General features: G+C 40.2%; 2 pseudogenes, besides 2 other annotated features; one reads left to right on the top strand and one right to left on the bottom strand.

Annotated features, from left to right (window-relative positions):
* Positions 3,269-3,847: an enhancer, noted in NCBI's record as "H3K27ac-H3K4me1 hESC enhancer chr11:127282086-127282664 (GRCh37/hg19 assembly coordinates)". NCBI's record gives its function as "activates a minimal SCP1, AML or CMV promoter by ChIP-STARR-seq in naive H9 embryonic stem cells {active_cell/tissue: H9 hESC(naive)}" and the evidence as "EXISTENCE:reporter gene assay evidence [ECO:0000049][PMID:30033119]".
* Positions 4,120-4,620: an enhancer, noted in NCBI's record as "H3K4me1 hESC enhancer chr11:127281313-127281813 (GRCh37/hg19 assembly coordinates)". NCBI's record gives its function as "activates a minimal SCP1, AML or CMV promoter by ChIP-STARR-seq in naive H9 embryonic stem cells {active_cell/tissue: H9 hESC(naive)}" and the evidence as "EXISTENCE:reporter gene assay evidence [ECO:0000049][PMID:30033119]".
* On the bottom strand, positions 7,890-8,187 carry RN7SKP279 (RN7SK pseudogene 279; annotated as a pseudogene).
* RN7SKP121 (RN7SK pseudogene 121) lies at positions 9,706-10,010 on the top strand (annotated as a pseudogene).

Below are 16,813 nucleotides of genomic sequence, written 5' to 3'. Positions count from 1 at the left end.
GGTTGGGGGAAGGGGGAGGGATAGCAATAGGAGATATACCTAATGTAAATGTCGAGTTAATGGGTGCAGCACACCAACATGGCACATGTATACATATGTAACAAACCTGCACGTTGTGTGCATCTACCCTAGAACTTAAAGTATAATAAGAAAAGAAATCAGGAGATGGAATTTTTATGAATTCCCTCATTTAGGAGTGGCAAAAATAAATGCTTCAGCCAAAAGGACTGAAAAGAAGGGGTTAAAGGAAGACCACAGATGGCAGAGGGTGTCAATAAGGGGAGGATGAAAGGAAATTATATTAAGTTGGAAGATACGGTAATATTGTCAAATGCTACAAATAGGTGATTTTCAATAAAGCCTGAAAAACGTAGAGAACATTTCAACAAAACTGTAAGACTAGAAGCCAGATTGCAGTAGGCTGAAAGCGAATGTAGTGAAAGAAGGGTGGGGGGTTGGGGGGTGGTTATGTACATAAGCATTTTAAGGGGCTTGACTGAGAAAGAAAAAAGAAGAAGCATGGTAGAATAAAAATAAGCATGAATTGGTTTAGTTTATTATACTATCTTTCCCAAGAGTATTTGCATTTTTAAAGAATGGTAAAAATAACACCAACCATCTTTGAAAATGTCATCACTTCTCATATACTGTGTTAAGCATGCTGTCCTTACCCTTGAAGGGAAGTATTATTATCCCAGTTTTGCAGATGAGGACACTAAGGAATTGGAAAGTTGTCTCTCAAAGTACACAGCTAATAAATGATGTACCAAGGATTCAACCCAAATCTGCCCAGCACAAATAGCTGTGTTTTGTTTTTTAATACTTAAAACCCTTAAAAAAATGTTTATCCAAATATCAGTTATCTACATGTTTTCTTCACTCTTTTGGCCTTAAATCCTCAACCATCTTTATCAATATTTACTTAATTTTTTTCAATAAATTTGCTTTTTTACTGTAGATTTGATTCATGTCCAAGGGATTTATCTGCATAAACAAAAACCCCTATCAATTGTACTTCATTGAATGCTCAATTTATTAAATATATATTTAATAATCTTTAAACAAGTTTATATAGACATGAATGGACACATATTATTAATATTTTCTTAAACAATTTAAGCCACATTTACAAATTTAGTGTGACTGATTCTTTTAGATGCTTTAAATACTTTAATAGCAAGTAAATTATACAAAAATATAGATATTATCTCTGTTCTGAAAAAACCACCATGCTTAGTCTAAAACCTATTCTAACTTATGAGTACCATGGTTTAGTTGATTTTCTCATTATTTATGGACTTTTTAAATACTTACTTAGCCTATAGTTATTGTGATACCTACCAAAGATTGTTAAACTTATTCAGATATTTCTCCAAGGTTGAAGATTTTACCAGACAAAAAGGATAAATAATATCATTTCAGACCAGCCAATATTACAAGACCTGGGTTATAAGTTAATGGCTTACTGGTCAGGATGTAACATGTGGTTGCTTTTTCCAAATATGACCCAACCTTAAGGCCTTACATCAGATTCAGCTTCCTTCTTATGTTTTAACTTCATTAATTATATCGATAAAGCCTTTGGACTCCATGTATTCTATTTAGCTTTGCGTATTTTTCCACTTGGGACCTTTCCACAGAATGATAGTCTCTTGGAGTCTTATTTACCTGGCATTGCTTGCTGTCCTGCAACCATAATATATCTATCTCCCATCATAATATATTTATTCATTTTGTTAACATTTTTTAAAACAAATGAATGCCTCACCAGCACCTAGTTAGAAGTGTCAGTTGGAGGTCGTATGTCATAGGTGATGTCAAATCCACTGCACATTTAGACTACTTTCAGAGGTAGAGGGTATTTGACTCATATGTTATCCTGAAACAAACTAAAATTTGGTAATAAGTTATAATTTTGCTTATTAACCAATAGACCCTTTATAACTGATAGTTTAACAAGATTTATATGACAAATTTTATAGATTTATTCTTAATGAGTTCTTGGTACAGTTCCTAATTTGCCTAGGACTATCTGACTTACTTCAAGTTTCCTGTATTTATGAATTTATATTTAAAAACATAAAAACAAGCACATATCTGTGCCTTGCAATTATGTACCTAAAAGAATAAATTACTCAGATATGATAGTATTTGTCAACCAATTAAACAAGTAAAATTAAACTATTTTCGATTTCATTTTTCTTTGGTATGAAACATTCTAGCTTTTCATAATTTTTGTAATTAACCATATTACTATTTCCTTTAATATCCAAATTATCATAACTTTCCCAGTAATGTTCTTTAAGCCAGTTTTTTTTGTTTATTATTACTGCTCTTGAACTTCTTAAAAATATACCTGCTTTCTGTCAATAATAGTCTTTTCTAGAGCTATATTGATTTTTTTTCTTGTCTCAAACTGTTTTCTATAAATCTTGATTCTTCTTTAATGGGGAACATTAGAAACCAAAACCAGGGTGCTAGGAGCGAACATAAATGTTAGTGATGGGCAAAGGCACTGTGGATGATGCTGGTTTATTTTAGAGTGAGAGCTAAAAGGGGTCATTCATGTCTTTCCTTTTTCTTCAGTTTGACATGATAATTAATGTCCTCTATTTTAGTAACAGCTAGGATTTTCATTACTATTACACCTATTATGTAGACAAATAATTTGCTTTTAAAATGAAACTTTGTATCAGTATTGTAAACAACTACCAATACTATTTGGCATATGTAAAAGAAAACACTAAAAATAAGTACAGTAATAGAGTTTAACAGTGCAGTTTGTAACACACACACACACACTCAACCAAAGATACATGTCTAGAATAGTGATTTTGATGGCAGTGGCGGGCCATCTGGAGCGGCTGCTGCCATCACGTTGGCTGCAGCCAGGAGGCACAGCCGGGGCTGCAAACTCCATGAAGCCAGCAGGAGCTGTGGACAAGCGGGAACCCCGTCCCTTCCCAGTCGGTGCAATAGCACCCTAGGTGCCCGTGCAGCTTCCCAAGCCATGGCTGCAGACCTGGGCATATCTGTGCACTAAGGACCCAGAAGCAGGCCAGAGCCCCACCCTCCCAGGCACAGCTGCAGCTGTCCAAACAGTGGTTACAGACCCGGGCCTCCTGCTCCATAAAGCAGACAGAAGCCAGGTAGAGCTACAGCCACCCAAACCTCGGCTGCAGACCCAGGCCTCCAACTCCAGGGAGCAGGCAGGAGCCCCGTCCTGCCAGTGCAGATGCAGCCACTCAAACCACAGCTGTGGACCCAGGAATCCCTGCACTGTTGGGGTCCAGGAAGTGCCCCTGCCCTCACAGGCTCAGAAGTTCCTGCTCTCACTGCCTGGATTCTCCCTGCTGTCAGTGCCCACTCCAATCTTGGAGCAAACTTGGGGCTGAACTTGGGTGCTGTTGCAGCCTGGCTGGGGGTGCACATGCTCAGGGCAGTGCCGCCTTGGGCCCCTCAGGACTTTGGGCACTGACGAGCATAGGAGGGAAGTTGAGAGGTGGGGCTGAGGGCTGCTCTGCACTGGCCTGCAGATGCCCCTTGGCACCTACAGCCTGGGCGCCATGAACAGCACAGACAGGCTCCTGGGCAGGAGGAGGTGGGTCCTCACTGAGGCCCCGCATTCAGGACAGGAAGGGCCTGAAGGCTGGGTGCCAGGCTGCCAGTTCCGTGGACAAGAGTAGGAACTTGTGATGCCTTTTTCGGGCCCACCCACGGCCACCCATGGACCAATTGGAGTGCACTTCCCCCGCTCTGGGACCCATAAAAGTCCCAGACTCAGCCAGAGCTGAGCAGACAATGAGATGACCAATGACCAATGCAGAGGGGAGCACCACACTCTAGGGCCTCCTCTCTCCTGAGAGCTGCAGACTATGGGACCACCTTCCTGCAGACAGGAGTCACCCACTCTAGGGCCTCCAATCTGCTGAGAGCTGCAGAGATGACAGAGAGACGATGGGAGGAGGTGACGGGATGACCTGCCTGCAGAGAGGAGCCACCCACTCTACGACTTCCTCTCTGCTGAGAGCTGTGCAGATGATGGGACAGCCAGCTGCAGAGAGGAGCTACCCTCTCTGCTGAGAGCTGACACTTGTCAGGGCAACTTGCCTAGCAGAGGAGCTACCCTCTCTTCTAGAAGCTGAACACTCATCAGGACACCCTGACTGCCGAAAGGAGCTGCCTCCTGCAGGTTTCCTCTCGGCTGTTCTATCACTCAATAAAGCTCCTCTTTGTCTTGCTCACCTTCCACTCACCTGCATACCTCATTCTTCCTGGTCACAGGACAAGAACTCAGGACCCAACAAATGGTGAGGCTAAAAGAGCTATAACACTAACAGGGCTGAGACATGCCTCTTGCTTGCCACCTTGCGGGCGAAGAGATGGAAAGAAGGGCTGTGGCCTTTCAGGGAGCCCAGACCTGGGAGCTCCTCAAGCCAAGGCTGTGCCTCCCTCCTTGGGGCCCTGTGGTTCCTGGCATCTCCATGTTCCCCAGTGCCAGCCATGGAAGCTGCTTGTGGTGCAACTGGTCTGACTCCAGCCTTGCAGAGAGCCAGTGTTCGTGCCAGCACCTGGAGCTGCCTGACCTACTGTAGCCAGTATGTCTGACTGTGTTCAGTGGCTGGACCCCACGCTTGCTCCTACACCCCTCACTGTTCCATGCCTGACTCACCCTTGGCAGGCATACGACCGAGGTTGGTAGCATGAGCCAAGCACAGCCTGCCAGCCTGAGTGGGAGAAACGAGCTCAGTGGGCCTCAGCAAAACTTGGGCAAAGGCGCCACCAGCCACAGAGGTTTCTGGCCGGAAAAGATCCCATAACAGTTTAAGGAGCTTTGAGGGGCCACTCCACAGTGAAACAATCACAACTGCTGACAATTATTTTTAAAACAACTATTTGAAGTCTCTGGAAATTGTTATAATGTCATGCAGCAAATGAGGAAACATTGATTCAAGAAAATCAACTAAATACTGATACAACAGGAGCTATGGCACTTGAACCATGACATGTTCCCTCTGCTCCCTTGGCCCAGATCAGCATGATGAAAGCCCCACTCTGTGGAGGGTTGCTAAGAAAACAGACTGCACTCTCCTACAACTCCCAATCAAAGGCTACAGTGCTTCTCTGGGAGGAGCAGCCTGCAGGCATTCCTCATTACCCATAACTTCCTGTTAAAGAGGCTAAATTCTAGATCAGTATGGCTAAGAGGTCAATAGCTCCCTTTCTCCTCCCAGCCCCCACCCATAGAGTGGAGGTTATGTGCCTAGGCATGGCCGTCAGAGAACTTGGGGTCCCAGATTCTCTTTGCCACAGCTTGCATGTCAGGAAGAGTTTCCATGCTGTCAGAGAAAAGCCCAGAAGAGCAGAGCAGAAGCTACTGCCTACATCCAGTACCGTGACTATAAAGCAAGGTGTCACTTTTGTATAAGCAGGTCACTGTGCCTGACCCCATCTCCAGATCAGTGGTGTAAAGATTTTGCCCAGGGAAAAAGGCAGGTCATAAGAACAGAAAATGTGAAACTTTCCCAAAGAAACAAACTTTATTTGAAACAGAGCATAGGAAAGTTCAAGCTTTGAAAACCATGGAGATTTTTGTGGTAAGTAGTTAAGAGAATGTTGGTAGCTCTATGAGAGCAATAAGATAAAGTAGAGTTCTGCTATTTTATTTCAGAGAGAACCAGGAAGAAACAACTAAGAAGAGCCCTTCTAGGTCAGAACTAAGCTCAAACACTGGCTTCAAAAAGTACCCCTGTACAGGGTCACAAGTTTAACTGGATAAAACTATGAAACCATTTATGCCCCGGCTATAGTCAAGAACAATAGAACAATTAACCAACAATTAGTGAAGCTAAAGCTGGATATAATGCCAGAAGAGGCAGAGTTTAACATGAAGAGAGACAGTGAAAGAAAGCCTGCTGAAACACTGTCATCCCAGGGTGACTGTGCGCATGCCCAAGGCTACACCCTCTAAAGAGTGACTTCAGAGGCTTCACACTATGAAAAAAAAATAGTTTAGCTAAACCACTAAGAAAATAAACAAGCAAACAACAACAGGAAGCCCTAGAAGGGAGGGAGCAGTATTTAGAGTTGCGAAATTATCTAAAAATGTCCAGTGAAACAAACAGAAAAGTATGACTTGTATATAAAAGCAGGCAACAGAAACCACCTTTGATGCTTTTGAAGGGGCTCAGATGTCAGACTTAACAAAGATTGAAAAAGAGTCTCCCTATATTTAAAAGGGTAAAAGGAAACCATGATTAAAGAAAAAAAAGAAGGTATGATGATAATCAGTAATCAAATAGGACTATAAATAGAGAGATATAAATAATTAAAATAAAAAAGAACCAAATGGAAATCCTGGATTTAAAAGTACAAAAACTGAAATAAAAATTTTACTAGAAAGGCTCAACAGTACATTTGAACTTGCAGAAGAAAGAATTGGCAAACTTGAAGATAAATATAAAATATATAATCTGAATAACAGAAAATGAATGAAGAAAATTAAGAGCCTCAGAGAAATAGATGATGACATAATGTGTACTAAAATACTTGTAACAGGATTAGTAGACATAGCTGAGTAAAAAAAGAAGGAGAAAAACATTCCAAAAATTTTCTAGAAAACGATGGCTGGAAACATCCTAAATTTGACAAAAAGTATTAATCTCCACATTTAAGAATATCAAGAGGCTGGGTATGGTGGCTCATGCCTGTAATCCCAGCACTTTGGGAGGCTGAGGCAGGCAAATCATAAGGTCAGGAGTTCAAGATCAGCCTGGCCAACATGGTGAAACCCTGTCTCTACTAAAAAATACAAAAAATTAGCTGAGTGTGGTGGTGCGCACCTGTAATCCCAGCTACTGGGGAGGCCAAGGCAGGAAAATCGCTTGAACCCAGGAGGCAGAGGTTGCAGTGAGCTGAGGTCGCGCCACTGCACTCCAACCTGGGTGAAAGAGCAAGACTCTGTCTCAAAAAAAAAAGAAAAGAATATCAAGAACTCCAGGTATATTACATGCAAAGTTATCAATATCCAAACATATTATAGTAAAAACACTGAAATAAAAAGACAAAAATCTTAGAAGCAGCAAGAAAGAAATGACTTGTCATGGACAAGGAAACCCTAATAAGATTAAGATCTTACTTTTCGTCAGAAACAATGTAGGCTAGAAAGCAGTTAATTATATATTCAAAATGTTGAAAGAAAAAATGTAAACCGAGAATCTTATAACCAGAAAAACAATTCTACAAAAGTTAAGGCATAATAAAGATATATCCAGATAAACACAAGCTGAGAGAATTCATTGCTAGCAGTACTAAAGGAAGTCCTTCAGGCTGAAAATGCAATTTTGCCAAGAAAGACCAACTCCAAAAAGTAAATGAACCAATATGGAAAAAAAAAAAGAGCACCAGAAAAATTTATTATGTAATTATAAAAAAGTATATTTCTTCTTTCTCCTCGATTTATAACTACAAATACTACAAAATAAAAGAACACCAGAAAAGTTAATTATGTAATTATTTAAAAAGTATATTTCTTCTCCTTTCTTCTCAATTTATACCTACAAATACTATAAAACAAAAAGCACCAGAAAAGTTAATTATGTAAGTATAAAAATTATAAAATTATATAAATGTATATTTCTTCTGCTTTCTTCTCAACTTACAGTATTTATAGCTATAAATTGAGAAGAAAGCAGAAGAAGTATACAAGATCTAAAATCAGGAACCTAATTTTCCAAATAAGGTACTGGTATAAGAAAAGCAAGCTAGCCTAAAACAAGCAGAGAAATGACATCATAAATGTTAGTATGAAAGTTAATGAAATACAGAAAGAAAAACAATAGTGAAAATCAACAAAAGCAAGAGTTGGTTGTTGAAAAAGATCAACAAAATTGACAAACTTTAGCTAGACTGACCAAGAAAAATAAGAAAGAAGACTTAAAATAATAAAATCAAGAATGAGAGCTTGTTTGGAAGTTGTAGCAGGGGAGCGCAGCTACTCTTAGACCCTTGACTGAAGACCAGTCCTCTTCTATCAAGGATGGTCATCCTTTTCCACTAAGCATGCAGCTTCAGAAGGGGCGGACATGGAGTGGTGAGGGGGACAGCTGCCTAGCCAACCGGATCAGCCAAAACAACCCTGGCGATCAATGGGGTGGCAAATGTCACAGCCACATCCCCCTCACATCCATAAAATCAAGAAAGAAAGAGAGATATTACTAGCAACCTCACTGAAATAAAAACTAAGAGATACTAAGAACAACTATATACCAACAAATTAGAAAACCTAGAGGAAATGTATAAATTCCTAGAAAGATACAAACTACAGAATCAACAGAAAATGTACATGGACCTGTATCAAAATTCTTTAGAGAGGTCAGAGAATGAGGCCTAAGGAACGATTATTGTATTTAGTGATCTAGAGATTACTCCTATGACTTTCTGGAATTTATCCCAGAAAAGTAAAATAAATTTAACAAGAAAATCAATTAATATGACATACTCTTTCAGTAGAAATAGAGAGAAATGACCCCCCAAATAGATGCTGAACTAAGTATTTGACAAACTTCAACACATATTCATGACAAAAACACTCAACCAACTACGATTAGAAGGAAACATTCTCAAACAGACAAAGGATATCTATGAAAAAAAAAGAAAACCCATAACTAACACCATACTTAATAGTGAAGAGACAGAATACTTTTCCCTCAAGTTCAGGACCAAGATAAGGATGCCTCCTCTTGCCAATTCTGTCCAACACAGTATTGGATCTTCTATTCAAGACAATTATGCAAAGAAAAGACATAAAATCATCCAGAGTAAAATTATTTCTATTTGCAGACAACATGATTTTGTATGCAGAAAATACTAAGGAATCCACTAAAAAGCTGTTACAACTAACATGCAAGTGCAGCAAGGTTGAAGGATGAAAGATCAATATACAAAAATCAACTGAATTTCTACACCCTTGCAATGAACAATACAAAAATGAAGTTTAGAAAACAGTTCTAATTATAATAGCATAAAATAGAATAAAACACTTAAAAATAATTTAATAGAAGGAGAAAAAAAATATGCTCTAAAGAGAAACCGCAAAACATTGGAAGGGATTACAGAAAACTTATATAAATGGAGACATTCAATTTTCATGGATGGGAAGATAATGTCGTAAAGATGGGAATGCTTCCAAAACTGATCTCCTCGCTTGAGCCTATGAGGTCAAGGCTGCAGTGAGCCATGTTCACATCACTACACTCTAGGCTTGGTGACAGAGCAAGATACTGTCTCAAAATAATAATAACAATAATCTTCAAATTAAATACAGTGTCAATCAAAAGTCCCACTGATTTCTTTACCAAAATTGACAAACTGATTTTAACATTTATATAAAAATGTAAGGGATCTCATTTTCTAAGAGCATAGGAAAAAGGTTTCCTACTCAGCCTGGACATCTGGGGATTCAGTGAAGACTTTCTTCTGGCAACAATTATTGAATTTAAAGCCATCATTCCTGTATGTGAGAGAGAGAGAGAGAGAGAGAGAGAGTGTGTGTGTGTGTGTGCATAAAAGAGAAAGTGAGAGAGAAGGAGAGAGGGACCACATCGTGGTGGGGTATTCCATAGAAAACTACATAAAATTCAGAAGTAATATAGAATCAGATGAAAAGTTAGCCAAGGTTCTAATAGAGTTAAATTACTCAAACTTGGATGTGAGGGTGATCTAGCTATAACATATGTCATCGCATTGATCACCAGGGTTGATTCCGCTGATCTGGCTGGCCAGGCAAAAGTCCCCTTGTCCCCTCACCGCTCCATGTGTGTCCCTCCTGAAGCTGCATGCGCACTTGAAGAGGACGACTATCCCTTGTAGAGGAGGACCATTCTTCAGTCAAGGGTATACGAATAGCTGTGCTCCTCTGCTCGAATCTGCAAACAAGCTCTCAAAATTAATCCTATGCCCACTCTAACTATTGATGGAATTGGGGTAAAAAACATGATGTGACCCAATTTACATTTTGCTTCTGAGTTTTGGTGGTTGGATTCTTTGGGGAGAATAGAAGCAGAGAGGAGAGAGAAGAGGAGGAAACTGAAGACAGTATAGATGATTAAGGGATTACTGCAATAATAAAGGCAAGAAATGATGACAATATTGGTGAAGCAAGCACTAGAGGGAGAGCAGATTCAAGAAAGATTGAGGAGGCTAAGAGAAAGTGTTATGATGTGTCTGTGAGGTGGGTGATATCGCGAGTGGTGGGTGAGAAGAGGGAGGAAGCAAGGATCAGGCCCCGATTTCCAACAGAATGACCCAGTAGTATCTGAACTAACAAGTGAGCTAGAGAATATTGGAGAAAGACTGAGTTTAGGAAAAGCTGCAACATTTTTGTTCTTGAAGATCAGGCACGTGTCTTTCTCATCTAGTAGCCCCAACATATATCACAGTACCAGTCAAATAGCTTACTAAACAAATTACAATAGTACTAGATTCCCAGACCCGCCATCCAAAGCCTCAAATTTCTGCTGTGCCAACACCCCAAAAGCCAAAAAGGAAACAGTTAGTGTTAGGGGGAAATGCGGGAAGCAGTAGCCAACATTCTACTGGTTTCTGAGCCTGCCTGGTATTCCATAAAATGAAGTGCTTGCCAAAGTTCATGGTGACAGAATTGCAGAGGAGAGAAGGATGCTATTGGAGTGGAAAAACAAGGCTGCTTTGCAGAATTTTGATTTACAGCCTCGGCTGTAAATGACAGTTGTTCCACTAACTTCCTTTTGCTAATGCAAGAACAGCTTTTGCAGTAATAACATATTTCAGCGTGAATGTCTTTTTAATAATCCTTAATTTGAGTCCTAATTCCCTTGATAGCCACTTTGAGGAGACAACTGCATTCCAAAAGTGACACTGCATGAGCGCATTTGAGGAAAGACCAACCATATGCACACACACACACACACACACACACACACGCAAGCACAGACACGATCAGAGAAAGATGTTACATGTATTTTAACACATTATCATATTTCTTAAATCCGATGACATCAAAGGATTACCCTGAACCTTTTAATAAGTAATCATTCCAAATTTCATAGGCATCAGCAACTAACAGTCAGAATCTGATCAGGACGGAGGTAAAAGATGAAGGTGCTGTGATAAAAAGAGCAATAATAAAGACAAAAAGAATAAGAATAAAGGCAAAAGCACAACTCATAATGTAGCCACAGAAGTCAGGGAAAGTCTACAGCAATGGGGATAGCTGAATATAGTTTATCATGGGATCCAGTATAATTTAGAAACATTTTTTTAAACCAGTGGAGAGAGCCAACAAGCTAAGTTGGGATCAATGAGTTGACATTGATGGGTCCGAGTAACAAAGCTGCCAAGAAAACATAACTGCCGACAAAGAAATATGTGTGTGCCCTCATCTTTCCCCTCCTGAGCCCTAGGTAGAACAAATTTATTTTTGTGTAATAGAAAATGGCTCACAGCAGCACCCTCACACTCCTCATCCATTCCCAACTGTCTTCCAGACTTCTCACCTGCAGTAATTCTTAACTCTTGCTCTGAGAACAGCTTCATGAGACCAGCCTTGCAATTTAGGTCACAAGGCTCAGAGGGGCTCAGACTTCATGCAAGAAACATCAGTAGTGCCGTGTGGTTGCACAGCACACTTCGCCTGGCCTGTTGTGTAGGAAGAAGAAAAGCCCATTCATTAATTAAGGGTAAACCAAAGATCCACCTATTGGTATCCATTATTATTTCTTGTTTTACCTTCCAGGCAGAGTCAAGTTTCCCCGTCATCACAGTTTTTTGCTTGTTTCTTTATCAGCCTACATTCTTCCTTTATTACACTTATCAGAATATTCTTGAACAATTACTTTTGTAGGTAATTTTCTGTTGTCTTTTTCCCGGACTGTGAGCTCCATGATAACAGGCACCGTGTCTGTCATATTCACTGACCGCTTCTCAGAATCTCAGCAACATGCAACAGGTATGTGTTTAGGGGTGGAGGGAGGAAGATAGAGATGAAAAAAGAGAGGTAGGAATAAGGAAGAAAAGGAAACAGAAAAGGAGAAAGAAAAGGACAACTCGTAGTTACTCATGAGCTGACTATACAGCTAAAACATTTCTCAGGTGTTTCGGTTCCATAAATTTTATAAACATTTGGGCCACATAACCCCCATCAGAGTTTTGCTTATATAAAAAAATAAATGGGCAAAGTACGATTCGGGTCCCACTTGTTCCAACATGTGCCTGCTACTGGCCTGCCGTTTTTGCGTCTATTATGGCAGAAGAGGGAATGGATAATCAATTCTATATTCTATGGAATTTCAGGCCCAAGGACCAACAATGCAAATATTTAACCAGAAACAAAAGCACAGCATGGTGAGCTGAAAAAAAAAATACAAAGTAAACACAAGTTTATTTGCCACAGTTACCTATCTTATTAATAATAAGAGGTCACAAACATCATGAAAATCTTTTAGCTTGAATAAAATAAACCAATTTTTTCTGCTTTCTAGTAATGCTACAAGTGCCAAAAATATTATGGTGGTCTCCTAAATGTATCCTCTCATTCTTTCAAATTTTCCAAAACACCTGAGTTCTACAGGACTGCCCAATAGAACTTTGTGCAATAATAAAAGTGTTCTTCACCTGCGCTGTCTCCAATGTGGTAGCACTAGCCACATGGGGCTACAGAGTACTTGAAATATGACTGGTGCTACCAAAAATTAAAATTTTATTTTATTTTATTTTATTCACTTACATTTACATTTAAATAGCCCCATGTGTCTAGTGATTACTGTGTTGGACAGCTCATGATAACACCAAAATGACTTGGCTAATGGGAAAGACTGGCCTCTGCTTCAAACTCTGTGACTTTCTGATTTTTATAACATTCTGAGTAGGCACTTATAGCAATGTCTGACTATACTGCAGCTGACAAGCCAATAACTGCAGATACATTAAGATATACAAATAAAACTTGGTGCCTCTTTTCCACAACCTGGATTGAAATGGGCATCTCTGGAGTCACCCCTTTGGTTTACACAACAAAGCATGGGGCCATTTTCTCCAAAATATCACATTAGAATACACATGACTTATGTGGAAAGAATCCTGTAACTATATGTGCTGGTGGGTGGAGGTGATACCAAATGTGAAAGACAGTCTTGGGCAAGATGAATCAGGGGAGATTTGGGAGGTTCTAATTGAGAGAAGTAAGATTGTTAGTTCACATTCTGAGTCTTGGAAAATCAGGACATGAGAGTGAATATATTAGTTTATGCCAGATTATACACTAGTGCCAGCTGGTTTGAATGCCACCACCAACACTATAGGCTGCCAACCCTTATCCTAGATCATGGGACACGTAGGGATAAATTTCCATGGATAGCTAATTCCAAAAGTGCAAAAAACTTTAGGAATTATCAGAAGATGCTAGTTATTGACATTTTCTCTCCCTTTTTTTCCTTTTTTACTCCCTCCCAATCTTTTACTTAATCGGTAATCATTTATTGGCTGTCTATCATGTTCCAGACACTGTAAGGAGCATTAGTTCTATGCTAGTTCTATATTAGTCTTAGACCTTAACCTTACGAAAGCCACATTATGTTGAAGAAGCAAACGAGTGACTTAAAAATCATTTAAAAAACCGGCTTTCAAAAATTATGGGCTTTTGCTTCATACGAATTTGAATGAACACATTGAATTGGGTCTAGAGACCACTATCACCAATCCCACTGCCCTCTCAGCACGCACACACACACATACACAACGATTTTTCATACACTAGTGAAAAAAAAAATCCCTGGAAAATGACATGGTGGGCTTTTTTCTTCTTCTTTTGCTTCATTTTTATACAAAATATCCATATGATGATTTTTCCTCACCTTTATTCTTCCAGACTTTCAAAGGCAACCACTGTTCAAAATTTCTAAGCCTTTTTATTAATTCACTTTGATTTTGCTTCAGATTTTACACTACTAAGGATACTAGGTCCTAGTCAATGGGATGAGATGGGAACCACACTAAGATCCTCATGCTGCTATCCAGGCTGGCAAGCTCTGCAGACACACACATTTGATAAAAGCATTAGCTTGGGCAATGGTATTATTGGGTTGTTGCCACTAATTTGGAGATGGGGGGATGTTATCCTGACACACTTCTATTCCGGAGAGACCCATAGATTTTATAATTGAGTGAGTTTAAAATGTGAAACAGATTGGCTTTGCTGGCAAGCTCCGAGCACAGGTGTGTTTATTTCTTCATGAAACAATGGTACTCCTACACAAAGCCCCAGGACCCCAGATGGATCCCCTGTTTCTCTCCACACAGCCTTTTCACCTGAATCACAGATGGAAACCACTGAACTCATTCCTTACTCCTCCTATTTTTCTCTTACACTCGCCTAATTACCCATAAATATTGCTGAGTTAGTTTTCAAGGACATATTTATATATTTTTAATCATATCTCTTAGTTTCCCAATAGAGCATACAAGATGTTTTAATAATCTGAGGCCTGATGTGAATGAATAGCTCCCTTCAGTAGTGAAAGTACAACCAGTTCTCTACAATTTCAGTTTATTGGAAGTACTAGCTTTGGTTTGGCTGACCTTGGCCCTGACCACCACATTATCTTTTCATAATATTTGCTTCCAATATACCATTGTAGTCCCCACCAAAAGCATTCCACTTTCCCAGATTTATCTATATTGAAATAAACAACCAAACTACCAAGTTGCCTCCTACTTATGACTTACAGTATTCATAACACAAGCCCTACTTACCTCAGGTCATAGAGAAGAATGTGACAAGAGGCTTTTGTTTCAAAGAACACATTATAGGTAAAGGCAAATATACAAATAATTGTAATACGTGGTGTTGCATACAATAATATAAGTGTGATAACAAAACTGGGATGTAGACCTGAGGAAGGAGAGTAACTCAGTTTGGAGAGTCAAGAAAGTTTCACAGTGATGGATCCTCCTTTGTAGAGTTTGATAGATACAGAGGTCCCAGGCACATGCAAAAGCAGGAAAGTATTCAAGGTAGAAAGAACATGAAGTTGCATGTTCACCACTATAGATAGGTACCAGAAACTAAATATTTACCGAGTACCCGTTAGGTGACAGGCATTTCACTAGGACTTTGAATATATTATTTACTTAGTTCCTACTGCAATGCACTGCAGAGCCATGCTTTTCCATATGACATGGGAGGGAACTGAGGCTTAGAGAGTGTCAATCACTGCCTAAAGTCACATAGCAAGAGTTGTGTCCAAATTTGAAACTGTGCCCAAAGACTATGTAATCTTTCCACTCTAAGTACTCTCTTGGCATATATTTTGTAAAATTTTCTCAGCTGATCCTGCTTCTCGGGAAACTAAATTCAGGACCAAATATCTTCCTTTGCTGTCCTCTGCCTTCATCCCAACACACATGTTTCTTTTCTGGTCATCGGAAAATAAGCACCAAATTCAGTTTCTTTTAGGAAATGACTACTCTTCAGACCTCCCTAGAGAAGCTCTGACATGCCCACAGTCCTTTCTGGTGGGATGTCACCTCTTATGGAGCTCTCTGTTTTCCTTTGCCATTCTTTCAAACTGTTCGGGAAACTGCTGGCAAAGTTATGCTAAGGATAAAGTTGAACGCTGCTTGACTTTCTTTAGGCTCTAGGCTCTGGAAGTCAGTCCAAAGTCAAGAAAGCCCACGGTGGCTTTCCTGGTCATTAGGTTTATCAACTCTCTGCATATAGTATACGCTCCATTAAAGGAGCTGCGTGGTATCTATCAGAGAAAAAGAACAACCGTCAGGATGACAGCAGCAGCCGCTCTGAAGATAACACTTCCTTGTGGGGGCAGGGTGGGGACAGGGACCAAGAACCTTACAAGTTAAGTCACTTTCTTGTTTCTGTATCTCTGCTCATTTCTCACACCAAAGTACAACTAGCAAAGGAAACACAAGGCAGTCAATGGATTCTAACTTGACACAAGATGCCAATTTTCTGACCTTCGTGGTGTTGCTCTTGGATCCTCTTCTTTCTGGAGATTAGACTGAGGTCTCCAGGTTAGCTCTGGTGATTTGGGCACTGTAATAATAAGACCAGGCTTGTGGGTTTGATGCCAGTGATGCCCATTCAGGGTGTTTTATCCCTTTCCATTCATTCCATGGCCATTCGTTGAACATTTACTAGGTGCCAGATCAAGTGCAAGGCAATAGACAACTGCAAAGGGGCCAGGCCGGGTGCGGTGGCTCATGCCTGTAATCCCAGCACTTTGAGAGGCAGAGGTGGACAAATCACTTGACGATAGGAGTTCTAGACCAGCCTGGCTAACATAGCGAAACCTCGTCTCTACTAAAAATACAAAAGTCAGCCAGTCATGGTAACGCATGGCTGTAATCCCAGGTACTTGGGAGGCTGAGACACGAGAATCGCTTGAACCCAGGAGGCAGAGGTTACAGTGAGCTGAGATCGCACCACTGCACTTCAGGCTGGGCGACAGAGCAAGACTTGGTCTCAAAAAAAAGCGGGGGGGAGGGGTGCTGTTCTTACTCAGAAGGAGCTCACAGCTTAATGAAACAGGACAATGACAGTAAAGTAACACAGATAGAATAAGTCATCAGAGGACGAATAATCCAAGTGCTTTGATGGCGGCCCAGAAGAGCAATCCTAGAACCTTGCCTGTTGTCAGGATATGGGAGTGTCCTCACAGGATGAATTAGTTATCCTGTGAAGAAACTATGGGCCTCACCAGCCTGCCAGAGGCTCTGGGGTCATGCACATATGCACGGAGATACATGCTGTAAAATATGA

Source organism: Homo sapiens, chromosome 11 (genome assembly GCF_000001405.40).
Source record: "Homo sapiens chromosome 11, GRCh38.p14 Primary Assembly".
Lineage (NCBI taxonomy): Eukaryota > Metazoa > Chordata > Mammalia > Primates > Hominidae > Homo > Homo sapiens.
Note: the sequence above shows the minus strand (reverse complement) of the source record. Positions and strands in the feature narration are given on the sequence as shown.